Genomic DNA, 13,699 nt, shown 5'->3' with positions numbered 1-13,699 from the left:
GCACTCAACTGGTCCTTTCTCTAGCACTCCTCCTTAAGATTTTTGACATTATCTTGCTGTCATCACTGGGGCCTCATAAAGCCTTTTTCTGGCCAATCTTACCAGTGTGCACTCCGACCCCATTCACTTTGTATCCCTGTTTGTATTTCTGTGATAGTAGAAAGCTATCCAAAGGTTTGCTGCTGCCAAAATGCTCCTGCATGCTTTAATGACTGCGTGATAACCAGCACAGCTGCAAACCACAGCAAAGCCTCCTGCGAGAAGAGTCTTCTATCACAGTCTTTATGATCTGAAATTATTACTCTTTTGCTTGCTATCTGTGACTCCTCCCCCCGTTACCTGGAGGTCTTATGCTATATTCATTGCTTCAGTTTGAACAGTGCCTAACACAAAATAGGCATTCAATATATATTTGTTGAAAGATAACTAGATTGAAGATAGATTTAGCCCAAACCTCTTCATTTCAAATAAGAAAACGGAGTTATAAATCAGAGATTAGGAGGATAGATAGAGAAAGAAAATTGACAGCACGTCTAAATTAAGCAATACATTTCCCCAAAGACAATAACTTGAACTTTTATTTCTAAAACTTGTGAGTTAAAAAACCTGTCTTCTCATTGCTGCTAAAATATAAGGTATGGCTTTTCTAGTTAATATTGTGTGCCTTTGCGTTCTCAGAATTCAACATTAATATATAAATGTACATTTAGCTATTTTAAAATTCTACACATATTTATTTGATGACACGTGACAGAGGCTTATTACAACACTGGATGTGGTTGTTGAAGGCCTTGATGGTGACTCCTTGGTGAATATAAATGATTTATTTTCTTTTGTTAGATCACAGTCATAGTTATTGATATCAAATATACCATATTTTAACTAGCAATTTCATTTTCAGTTCTGACTAATGTAATCTCTCATTGAATCTCAGTTAATATAAACTAAAACACAACATATCATTCTGAAATAAATTCTCACCCTAAATTATTTCAGCCCAAGATTACATCATTTTTTCCTCTATATTTAAGTTTGGAGTTATGCTTAAGTCTTTATTAAAGCATAGATCATCAATAAAATATGACATCATTATTTCCTCTATATTTAAGTTTGGAGTTATGCTTAAGTCTTTATTAAAGCATAGATCATCCATAATTGACATTTTTCTAATGATCAGGTCATATGTAATTCAGGCCAATTACTAATTCAGGCAATTACCAATACTATGGTAATTGCTACTAATTATAAAAATAGCTGCAATAAGTATAAACCACCTTTGTATGCCCGCTTTATTTATATATACATATACATGTATATCTCATGTACATCTCAACTAAAGCATGACTAATAAATGTTTGAAACAGAATAATCATTGGAAATCTGCTGAGTTAAGATTAATCAATATGATCTTGGGTCATGGTTTGTACCTTATTCTTTCAGAAGATATATCTCAGAAGAAGAGTCCTATATTAAGATGAAGAACATTATTTAAAATATTGGGATCTGCCTTTTTGGGGCCAAAATCAGTCAGTTCCTCAAAGGAAATTCTTACCTCTCCCTAATATCCCAGATTTACTCCAAAGGCAAGACCTTTTCATGTAGAACTGAATCATCAAACAGCTTGATTAATCAAAAACCATGCTAGTAAGGTAGGCAACCAGCAAGACATTTCTTGACTGTGGACTTTTGTGTTTGTTAAAGCTCTGTCCATTAGATATGACTGGTCCTAGATTATCTAGAGATGCCAAGAACGACTGAAAGCTATTCATAACAGCATAAAATTCTCACCATTGCTATCCTTAGATTTTGGTGGTTTGGAATATAAGGTTTTAGGTAAAATCTATTCTGGAGCCAGTTAGCTATCACATCTGTAAACCAGAAGTTCTTCTCACTCTGATCTCCAATCCATGGTCACCACAGATTTCATCACAGAAGTAGTGCAGCAATATTTTTCAGTGCACAAAAGTTGTCATAAATGGGCCATTTCTCACTCATGGAAAAACCATTGTCGAAAGGATTTGTTCTGCTATGAACTGTTTTCTTGGATAACAGATAACTTCATTCAGGCTATAATTTTAATATGCTCTCCTTCCTATCCTCTAAAAGAAAATTTTTGTTCCTCATATCATCATCCACAAATTAACCAAGATATCAAAAGAATAAATAAATCCTGGAACACTTTTTCTAATTTTCCTTCCTCATACCATCACCACCCTGTCCCAACCTACTGGACATCTGGGATAATCGGGAATTATGTATGAGGAATTACGCATCTCTCATACTATAGAGATTTTCTATTTAAGCGCTACATCTCATCTTCCACTCGGGACACTCTATTTATTTACATCCAACACTTCCCCACATTTCTTGGGCAGAATAAAAACTTGCCTCCAGATCTTCTCAAATTAATGTGTAAAATCCTGCTTTACCAAGTCTGAACTTCAGGTGCAGAGGAGATACACAATCTGGTTAGGAGAGTGCAGCCTTTTGTTAATTTAATTAATTAAACCAACATTATTTATGTGTGCCTCCTATGAATGAGACACTGCACTTGACACTGAGGCTGCAAAGATACACAAGACACAGTCAACAATTAGAGAGTCAGCATAGCATTGTGATTAAACAGGTACTGGAGGCAGGCTCCCTGGTTACAAATCCAGCTCTGGAACCCTAAGAAAGTCACTTAACTTCCCTATGCCATGTTCTTTTCTGCAAAATATAACCATACCTCCATAAACAGATTGTTGTGAGGACTGAATGAGTTAATAATAACAAAACACAGTGTCTGTCATATTGTAATCATGATATACCTATAAATTGTTAGTTTGATTATTTTTAGGGAAATTTCAGTGTACAGAGATAGAACAGTATACAAATAATCTATAATACAAAGCTTTTCCGAGGCAGGCAGTGATTCCTCACTGGATGGGGAAGAAGGGGGAAGGGCTTTCCATGTGTAGAGAACAGTGTTTGTAAAGGTACAAATACCTCCACAAATGTAAAGGTGCTCAGATGATGAGTGCATGTACTTTACATAAAAAAAGAAGGTCAGAGTGACTGAATCTTATAACTCATAAAATAGAAATGAATTTATTTTTATTGCGTCATTCTCCAAATCCAATATAATTAACCCAGTGACCTTCAACCTCTGAACAATCTAAAGTTTAATGTCTTTACCATTCTCTCCTCTATCACAAAAAAATCACAATAGTAAAGTTCACTTCCAACCTTACTTTGTATTCAAAATTCAGAGATCTCCCTAGTTAATGTCCTGTGGATGAGAAGAAATACAGAAACACATCCTAAAGAGTCAAAACCAGAATCTCAGCAAACATCAGCATGCATTTTGACTGCTTAAAAGTTTCACCAGGATCACTCTACTGTGGGAAGGAAGGATGGTTTCCAGATAACCACAGTCAGAGCCTTTCTCCTCCCTGCAAGAACCATCATGCCCCCAGGAGTGAAAATGTGGATATCAAACAAAGAGAGCTCTAAACATCAATGAAGTGTGTCCCTCCATTCCTCTGGGGCTGACTCAGAGCACCTAGAAAACCTAAACTCCTTGGTAGAAACCCAAATGTGGACAAAAAATTGTTTTTTTTTCTTTTAATCATCAAGTATAGTTATCTAAGACTTCTGGATAGAGAGCCTGTCCATCACTGTCCCTCAAGACACCAAACTTGCCTAGCTCACCAAGATTATTTAAGACACAAACAGCTGGGCACAAATATGAGTCTGTGTCACTTCCATTGCTAAGAATCTATATGTACACAGCTGTCCCTTGTCACATTCCTTTATGTCATAACAACCCTGGATGAAACATTCCTCACTTACCTGTAACATTGTTTCTCAAACTACTTCACCTTGAACTTTGCCTTGCTCTTTCTGGTGTTGTGATGCATTCTAGCTACAAGGCATTTGTGCTTGGTCCTTTCTCCTTGAATCATTACATTTCTACCTACCTTGATAGTAGTCTCAGGACCTTGTTTCTACTGAGGTACCCATTAGTATTTAAAGCCCTTAGGTTGCTCTATAAATCAGCCTGATCCCCACTAGATAGGACAGATATTGTGGGGATAGAATATCAGACAGGCCTAAGCCTCATCCTGACCAGCTATGTATGGTCAGATCCCAAAGACACATAATTAAAATTTGCCTTATTAAGGTGCTGGGATTGATTCTTACTAGCTCCCACATGGATGAAAGGAATAGATGTGAAAGTACCTAGGGCAAGAAGTACTGGTACTATGTAAACAATTTAGAAAATTAATTTGTGACTTGCACCCAAATGTACTAAGCCAACAGGCTGGCTGAGACTCAGAATTGCTGTATGTCTGCCTCTCAAGCAGTTTGGAGTTGACACAAAGGTTTAAAGATTTCCTGCAGTGGACCCAGATGAAGCTTCTTAAAGGAAATAACGGAACTGTCACCAGGATGAACAGAAATGACTGGCAGCTTTGCATTTTTATGGTGTCTAAGGAACCAAGAGAAGCTGTAACCCCATCTGGGAGTATGCTGCTGTGTCCCTTGTTCTATGCAATCCATTAAAGGTATCAAGAAATCTATTTAGAGGGCTGCAAACAGCATTTTAAAAAAATGGAATAGAACAGAAAACATCAAATAAAGCACATGTAGTAAGATAAGTATAATCTGGAAAAGTGTTTGGTTTGTGCATGTAAATAATTATGTGTGTACTAGACCCAAGTGTAAAACGTATTCCTTACTACAACAAACAACACTTTGATAAAATAAATACTTTTCTTTCTTTACAAAAGCCATAAACTTTCAGAACAATGAAGTATCTTGGCTTCTACATCAAATCATTCTTAGTAATTATCATTAATAAAAATACTTGTATTGGAGTTCTGTCGTTTTTAAAATTATTTCCCTTTTAAAGGTGTGCATAGGTAGAAAGTACTAGTACGTTTTTAAAAGAATGTATAATCTCCATTTAAGTAAATGACACATTGACTCAGTTCATCTGTTTCCTCATTGAGCTCTCTGATCTTCTTCCTCAATCTTCTGCCTTACCTTTCCCACATTATGACAAAAGGCAATCACTTATAATTACATTTTGGTATATCCAAGTACCCAATTTTCCACACTAACTTTTAGCACTTCTCACAGTGCAAGATGACTACATAGGCTTTTGTACAACTGGCACTGCTGGTTTCTTTCTTTGAATCTCAAATATTTTTGAGTTCTTTGTGTCTTTGGTGGTTAGAGCACATCATTATCTTTTAAGCCTCTTGAACACCTTCAGAGTTTATGATTCAAAGACAACTGTTGACCTAGCACTGGCTGCCTGGACTATCTGAATCCTTACCCTGAATATCAGACAAAGAAAGGGATAACCTGGGCTGAAATTCCACAAATGCTTGGGTTTTTTTTTTTTTTCTATGTTTAACTGGGCTCTTCAATGACACTGTTTACTTAATGGATTTTCAATCCTTGGTTTTTTTTTCCAAAATTTTTTAAGTTTTTCTTTTAATTGATGTATAATTGTACATATTTATGAAGTAAAATGTGATGTTTCAATACATATATATACATGTGTAATGTTCAAATCAGGGTAATTAGCAGTCTATTACCATAAATGTTTATCATTTCTTTGTGGTGACAACATGCAAATCCTCTTTTTGCTATTTTGAAATATATATTATTTTTACCTAAAATGTGAAATAGAATACCAAAACTTATTTTTCCTCTCTAACTGTCACTTTGTATCTTTCCCCATCCCTCCCTTTCTCCTACCCTCTCCAGCTCCTGGTAACCAATATTCTACTCTCTGTTTTTATGAAACAAAATTTTACATTTCACATATAAGTGAGATCATGCAGTATGTAGCTTTTTATGTTTGACTTATTTCACTTAATGTCCTCCAGATTTATCCATGTTGTCACAAATGCCAGGATTTTATTTTTTAGAGCTAAAAAGTATTTCATTGTGTATATATTCCACATTTTTAATCCATTCCTTCATTGCAGCACTATTTACAATAGCCAAGGTATGATTTCATATCTTTCATAGTGCTGCAATAAACACCGAAGTCCAGATATCACTTCAATACATGGTTTCATTTCCTTTGGATTTATACCCCATAGTGAATTTACTGAATCATAGGACAGCTCTATTTCTAATTTTTTGAGGAACCTCCATACTGTTTTCCATATAAATGTACTAGTTTACATTCCTACAAAGAATAAGATTCCTTTTTATCCACATACTCACTAATACTTGTTTTCTTTTATCTTTTAGATAACAGCAATTCTAACTGGAGTGAGGTGAAATCTCATCATGGTTCTGATTCACATTTCCCTGATAATTAGTGATAAAAACATTTTTTATATACCTGTTACCCATTTCTAAATCTTCCTTTGAGAAATGACTATTTAGATCTTTAGCCCATTTTTAAATCAAGTTATTTGTTTTTTTATTGCTGTTGGATTGTTTGAGTTTCTTACATAGACCAGACATTAATGCCCAGTTGGATGTATAATTTGAGAATATTTTCTCCCATTCTGCAGGCTGTCTCTTCACTATGTTGATTGTTTCCCCTGCTGGGCAGAAGCTTTTGAGTTTGACATAATCTCATTTGTTTATTTTTGCTTTTGTTGCCTGTGCTTTTGAGGTTTTACTAAAAAATTATTGCCCAGATCAATGTAATGAAGCATTTCCCTTATATGTTCTTCTAGTACTTTCATAGTTTTGGGTCTTATGTTTAAGTCTTTAATCCATTTGAAGTTCATTTTTGCATATGGTGAGAGATAGGGATCTAGTTTCATTCTTCTGCATGTGGATATCCAGTTTTTCCAGGACCATTTATTGAAGAGACTGTTCATTCCCCAATGTGTGCTCTTGGCATTTTGTTGAAAATCAGTTGGCTGTTGATATGTGGATTTATTTCTGGGCTTTCTATTTTGTTCATTCATCTGTGTATCCGTTTTTATGCTAGTACCATGTGTTTTGGTTACTATAGCTTGTTAGTGTATTTTGAAGTCAGGTAGTGTGATGCTTCCAGCTTTGTTCTTTTTGCTTAAGATTGCTTTGGCTATTCAGGGTCTTCCATGGTTCCATATCAATTTTTAGTATTGATTTTTCTATTTCTGCAAAGAATGCCCTTAGTATTTTGAGAGAAAGTACATTGAATCTGCATATCACTTTGGGTAGATGGGCATTTCAACAATATTTAATATAACAATATTAATTTTCTAATCCATGAACACAGAATATCCTTCTGTTTACTTCTGTTCTCTTTAATTTCTTTCATCAGTGCTTTATAGTTTTTAGTGTAGAGATCTTGCTTCACCTCCTTGGTTAAATTTATTCCTAGGTATCTAATTTTTGTGTGTGTGAAGCTATTATTATATAAATGAGATTTCTTTATTTCTTTTTTAGATAGTTCACTGTTAATTTATGGAAAAGCTACCAATTTAAATATATTGATTTTGTATACTGAAATTTTAGTAAATTTACTCATTAATTCTAAGAATTTCTGAAGGACTCTTAGGGTTTTACATATTTAAGATCACAAGAAATTATTATGAATAATTATATATCAAAAAATTGGAAAACCTAGAAGAAATGTATAAATTCCTGGACACATACAACTTACGAAGATTCAGTCATTAAAAAATAGCAAATATAAACAGGCCAATAACTACTAACAAGATTAAATCATGATAACCAATCTCCCGTCTAAGAAAAGCATGGGACCTGATGGCTTCACTGCTGACTTCTACCAAACATTTAAAGAACTATACTAATTCCTTTCAAACCATTCCAGATAACTGGAGAGAAGGGAATTCTTCCAAGTTCATTCTACAAGGCCAGCATTACTCTGATAGCAAAACCAGTCAAGACCACAACAATAAAAATGACAAACTATAGGCCAACATTCTGGATGAGCATAGATGCAAAAACCCTCCACAAAATACTAGCAAACTGAATTCAACAGCACTTTAAAAATAATTCACCATGATCAGGTGGGATTCATCCAAAGGATGCAGGGATGGTTCAACATTGTCAATCAATAAAAGTGATTCATCACATTAACAGAATTAAGGATAAAAACCATGTGATCATTTCAATAAACACAGAAAAAGCATTTGACAAAATTCAACATCAATTTGATGATAAAAACTCTAAACAAATTAGGCACAGAAGATATGTACCTCAGTACAAGTGGTGACTCAGACCTGTAATCTTAGCATTTTGGGAGGCCGAGGTGGGCAGATGACTTGAGGTCAGGAGTTCAAAACTAGCCTGGCCAACATGGTAAAACCTCGTCTCTACTAAAAATGCAAAAAAATAAGCAGGGCATGGTGGCGGGCGCCTGTAATCCCAGCTACTCAGAAGGCTGAGGCAGGAGAATTGCTTAAACCCAGGAGGTGGAGGTTGCAGTGAGCCAAGATCATGCCACAACACTCCAGCCTGGGTGACAAAGCAAGACTCCCATCTCAAAAAAAAAAAAAAAAAAAAAGAAAAGCCATTTATGACAAACTCACAGCTAACATCATACTTAAGCGAGAAAAAGTTAAAAGCTTTCCTTCCAAGATCCAGAATAAGATAGGGATGCCCACTTTCACCACTTCTGTTCAATACAATACTGAAAGTCCTAGCCAGAGCAATTAGCAAGTGAAAGGAACAAAAGTCATCCAAATTGGAAAGGAGGAAGTCAAACTGTTCCCATTTCCTTTCAGAGATTTCTGATGCAAATATACTAACATAATATAACGACTAAGAGTAATATCAAAGCAGGCCCACAAAACACCAAAAATCTATTTTAAACTTAGTTCATTTCAGACCTATTCATTTGACAACAGAATAAAACTGTTTATAGAGTAGACCAGCAAGCATTCTACTCCACCTAATTAAACTATAATTCAAATTTAACAATTTGATTTACAAAGGCAATTAGCTTCAGCAGAACTTGAAAATAGTTTGCCCCGACAGATTATGAAATGTGTTACAGGGAATCACACAATTTAGTGTTTCAGAGTCACCATCTGAAGTATAAATATGTATTGAAGTTTCTACCAAAATAAATCCAGTACTCAAAAAGAAAAAGAGCAGGTTGATCACAGTTTCTCATGAACCCTATAGCAAAAATAGTGGAGCAGGTCAAATGTATGTAGAATTTACTCAATATTTTACTTCTTTAGGAGTTTAAAATAAACACTTAACCTTTCTCTTTGAGAAGGCACTATTGAGTTTAAAGGGCATCTTGAGTGCTTGAGGTCAATAAAGAATGGAAAGAGAGAATTAAATTACATGAGGGAGAAAAGGGCTCCTCACACATTGGAGGATGTGGTTCTTATGGTAAGGATTTTTTGTTTCTGTCTAGGCTTGTCTGAGAGTAGTCTTGTTCAGAGCTGAAGGTAGAGTCATTTAGGATTTTGCCCCCTTTTTTATTCTGCAGTATGCCATATAACTCCTCAGAAGCAGTGCACTGGTGAGACTTGAGTGCTTCTCAAAAATTAGGAGACAAAGGAAGAAAAGGATTTTTTTCCCCAGAAAGTGAAATTAGTGTATTTTCCAGAGCTAATACCAAATATAGTATACAGAATATTTAATAAGTAGCAGTTTAAGGGCACTAACCAGTCAGAAAGAACACAGGCTGCACAGGGTCCTAGGTCCCTTCCTAGGTTATGGTGTGGTTTAGAGGCCTCAGGAATGAGCTGAGGTGGCAGTCAGAGGGTTACTAGCAGAGGATACGTACTAACTGGTACAGTAGCATTTCAATATGTTTACTGTCAGGCCTCTGAGCCCAAGCCAAGCCATCGCATCCCCTGTGATTTGCACATGTACGCCCAGATGACCTGAAGTAACTGAAGAATCACAAAAGAAGTGAATATGCCCTGCCCCACCTTAACTGATGACATTCCACCACAAAAGAAGTGTAAATGGCCAGTCCTTGCCTTAAGTGATGACATTACCTTGTGAAAGTCCTTTTCCTGGCTCATCCTGGCTCAAAAAGCACCCCCACTGAGCACCTTGCGACCCCCACTGCTGCCTGCCAGAGAACAACCCCCCTTTGACTAATTTTCCTTTACCTACCCAGATCCTATAAAATGGCCCCACCCCTATCTCCCTTCACCGACTCTCTTTTCGGACTCAGTCCGCCTGCACCCGGGTGAAATAAACAGCCATGTTGCTCACACAAAGCCTGTTTGGTGGTCTCTTCACACGGACGTGCATGAAATTTGGTGCCGTGACTCGGATCGGGGGACCTCCCTTGGGAGATCAATCCCCTGTCCTCCTGTTCTTTGCTCCACGAGAAAGATCCACCTACGACCTCAGGTCCTCAGACTGACCAGCCCAAGGAACATCTCACCAATTTTAAATCAGGTAAGCGGCCTCTTCTTACTCTCTTCTCCAACCTCTCTCACTGTCCCTCAACCACTTTCTTCTTTCCACTCTTCAATCTCTCCCTTCTCTTAATTTCAATTCCTTTCATTTTCTGGGAGAGACAAAGGAGACATGTTTTTATCCGTGGACCCAAAACTCCGGCGCTGGTCACGGACTGGGAAGGCAGCCTTCCCCTGGTGTTTTATCATTGCAGGGACGCCTCTCTGATTATTCACCCACGTTTCAAAGGTGTCAGACCACGCAGGGACGCCTGCCTTGGTCCTTCACCCTTAGCAGCAAGTCCCACTTTTCTGGGAAAGGGGCAAGTACCTCAACCCCTTCTCTCCTTGTCTCTACCCCTTCTCTGCTTTTCTGGGGGAGGGGCAAGTACCCCTCAACCCCTTCTCCTTCACTCTTAGCGGCAAGTCCCGCTTTTCTAGAGGATGGGCAAGTACCCCAACCTCGTATCTCTGTGCCCCAATCCCTTATTTCCGCGCCCCAACCTCTTATATCTCTGTGCCCCAATCCCTTATTTCCATGCTCGACCCCTTATTTCCGTGCCCCTACCCCTTATTTCTGTGCTTCATCCCTTATTTCCATGCCCCGACCTCTTATCTCTGCGCCCCAACCTCTTTTCCCACTTTTCTGGAAGGTAAGAACCCCCGAACCCCTTCCCTCAGTTTCTCTACTCTCTCTTTTCTCTAGGCTTGCTTCCTTCACTATAGGCAACCTTCCACCCTTCATTCCTCCTTCTACTCCCTTGGCCTGTGTTCTCAAAAACTTAAAACCTCTTCAACTCACACCTGACCTAAAACCTAAATGCCTTATTTTCTTCTGCAATGCTGCTTGACCCCAATACAAACTCGACAGTAGTTCCAAATAGCCAGAAAATGGCACTTTGAATTTTTCCATCCTGCAAGATCTAAGTAATTCTTGTCGTAAAATAGCCAAATGGTCTGAGGTGCCTGACGTCCAGGCATTCTTTTACACATCAGTCCCTTCCTAGTCTCTGTGCCCAGTGCCACTCATCCCAAATCTTCCTTCTTTCCCTCCCGCCTGTCCCCTCAGTACCAACCCCAAGCATCGCTGAGTCTTTCTAATCTTCCTTTTCTACAGATCCATCTGACCTCTCCCTTCCTCCCCAGGCTGCTCCTCGCCAGGCCGAGCTAGGTCCCAATTCTTCCTCAGCCTCTGCTCCTCCACCCTATAATCTTTTCATCACCTCCCCTCCTCACACCTGGTCTGGCTTACAGTTTCGTTCCATGACTAGCCCTCCCCCTCCTGCCCAGCAATTTACTCTTAAAAAGGTGGCTGGAGCCAAAGGCATAGTCAACTTTAATGCTCCTTTTTCTTTATCCCAAATCAGATAGCGTTTAGGCTCTTTTTCATCAAATATAAAAATCCAGCCCAGTTCATGACTTGTTTGGCAGCAACCCTGAGACACTTTACAGCCCTAGACCCTAAAAGGTCAAAAGGCCGTCTTATTCTCAAAATACATTTTATTACCCAATCTGCTCCAGACATTAAATAAAACTCCAAAAATTAAATTCCGGCCCTCAAACCCCACAACAGGATTTAATTAACCTCGCCTTCAAGGTGTACAATAATAGAAAAATGTTGCAATTCCTTGCCTCCACTGTGAGACAAACCCCAGCCACATCTCCAGCACACAGGAACTTCCAAATGCCTGAACCGCAGCGGCCAGGCTCCTCCAGAACCTCCTCCCACAGGAGCTTGCTACATGTGCCAGAAATCTGGCCACTGGGCCAAGGAATGCCTGCAGCCCGGGATTCCTCCTAAGCCGTGTCCCATCTGTGTGGGACCCCACTGAAAATCGGACTGTTCAACTCACCTGGCAGCCACTCCCAGAGCCCCTGGAACTCTGGCCCAAGGCTGACTGACTCCTTCCCAGATCTTCTCGGCTTAGCGGCTGAAGACTGACACTGCTTGATCGCCTCGGAAGCCCCCTAGACCATCACAGACGCCGAGCTTCCGGTAACTCTCACAGTGGAAGGTAAGCCCGTCCCCTTCTTAATCAATACGGAGGCTACCCACTCCACATTACCTTCTTTTCAAGGGCCTGTTTCCCTTGCCTCCATAACTGTTGTGGGTATTGACGGCCAGGCTTCTAAACCTCTTAAAACTCCCCAACTCTGGTGCCAACTTAGACAATACTCTTTTAAGCACTCCTTTTTAGTTATCCCCACCTGCCCAGTTCCCTTATTAGGCTGAGACACTTTAACTAAATTGTCTGCTTCCCTGACTATTCCTGGACTACAGCTATATCTCATTGCCGCCCTTCTTCCCAATCCAAAGCCTCCTTTGCGTCCTCCTCTTGTATCCCCCCACCTTAACCCACAAGTATAAGATACCTCTACTCCCTCCTTGGCGACCAATCATGCACCCGTTACCATCTCATTAAAACCTAATCACCCTTACCCCACTCAACGCCAATATCCCATCCCGCAGCATGCTTTAAAAAGATTAAAGCCTGTTATCACTTGCCTGCTACAGCATGGCCTTTTAAAGCCTATAAACTCTCCTTACAATTCCCCCATTTTACCTGTCCTAAAACCGGACGAGCCTTACAAGTTAGTTCAGGATCTGCGCCTTATCAACCAAATTGTTTTGCCTATCCACCCCGTAGTGCCAAACCCATATACTCTCCTATCCTCAGTACCTGCCTCTATAACCTATTATTCTGTTCTAGATCTCAAACATGCTTTCTTTACTATTCCTTTGCACCCTTAATCCCAGCCTCTCTTCACTTTCACTTGGACTGACCCTGACACCCATCAAGCTCAGCAAGTTACCTAGGCTGTACTGCCGCAAAGCTTCACAGACAGCCCCTATTACTTCAATCAAGCCCAAATTTCTTCCTCATCTGTTACCTATCTCAGCATAATTCTCATAAAAACACACGTGCTCTCCCTGCCAATCATGTCCGACTAATCTCTCAAACCCAAGCACCTTCTACAAAACAACAACTCCTTTCCTTCCTAGGCATGGTTAGCGTGGTCAGAATTCTTACACAAGAGCCAGGACCGCACCCTGTAGCCTTTCTGTCCAAACAACTTGACCTTACTGTTTTAGCCTAGCCCTCATGTCTGCGTGCAGCGGCTCCCGCTGCTTTAATACTTTTAGAGGCCCTCAAAATCACAAACTATGCTCAACTCACTCTCTACAGTTCTCATAACTTCCAAAATCTATTTTCTTCCTCATACCTGACGCACATACTTTCTGCTCCCCGGCTCCTTCAGCTGTACCCACTCTTTGTTGAGTCTCCCACAATTACCGTTGTTCCTGGCCCAGACTTCAATCCGGCCTCCCACGTTATTCCTGATACCAC

At 39.2% G+C, this 13,699-nt stretch overlaps 1 protein-coding gene across 6 annotated transcripts in view, besides 2 other annotated features; it reads right to left on the bottom strand.

Moving 5' to 3' along the window:
- The window catches only part of PRKG1 (protein kinase cGMP-dependent 1), a 1,307,463-nt gene that overhangs the window by 249,036 nt on the left and 1,044,728 nt on the right, over positions 1 to 13,699 (bottom strand). The window contains exon 1 of one of the 6 annotated variants that reach the window (NM_001374781.1): positions 2,389 to 2,559. The exons of the other annotated variants lie outside the window; for them this stretch is intronic. The gene's annotated coding sequence lies outside the window, so the exon portion shown is untranslated. Of the gene's footprint in view, positions 1 to 2,388; positions 2,560 to 13,699 lie in introns of those variants that run through there. 6 annotated transcript variants of the gene reach the window in all.
- Positions 8,423 to 9,035: an enhancer, noted in NCBI's record as "OCT4-NANOG-H3K27ac hESC enhancer chr10:53800040-53800652 (GRCh37/hg19 assembly coordinates)". NCBI's record gives its function as "activates a minimal SCP1, AML or CMV promoter by ChIP-STARR-seq in primed H9 embryonic stem cells {active_cell/tissue: H9 hESC(primed)}" and the evidence as "EXISTENCE:reporter gene assay evidence [ECO:0000049][PMID:30033119]".
- Positions 9,649 to 10,262: an enhancer, noted in NCBI's record as "OCT4-NANOG-H3K27ac-H3K4me1 hESC enhancer chr10:53798813-53799426 (GRCh37/hg19 assembly coordinates)". NCBI's record gives its function as "activates a minimal SCP1, AML or CMV promoter by ChIP-STARR-seq in naive and primed H9 embryonic stem cells {active_cell/tissue: H9 hESC(naive and primed)}" and the evidence as "EXISTENCE:reporter gene assay evidence [ECO:0000049][PMID:30033119]".

This window comes from Homo sapiens, chromosome 10, assembly GCF_000001405.40.
Source record: "Homo sapiens chromosome 10, GRCh38.p14 Primary Assembly".
Lineage (NCBI taxonomy): Eukaryota > Metazoa > Chordata > Mammalia > Primates > Hominidae > Homo > Homo sapiens.
Note: the sequence above shows the minus strand (reverse complement) of the source record. Positions and strands in the feature narration are given on the sequence as shown.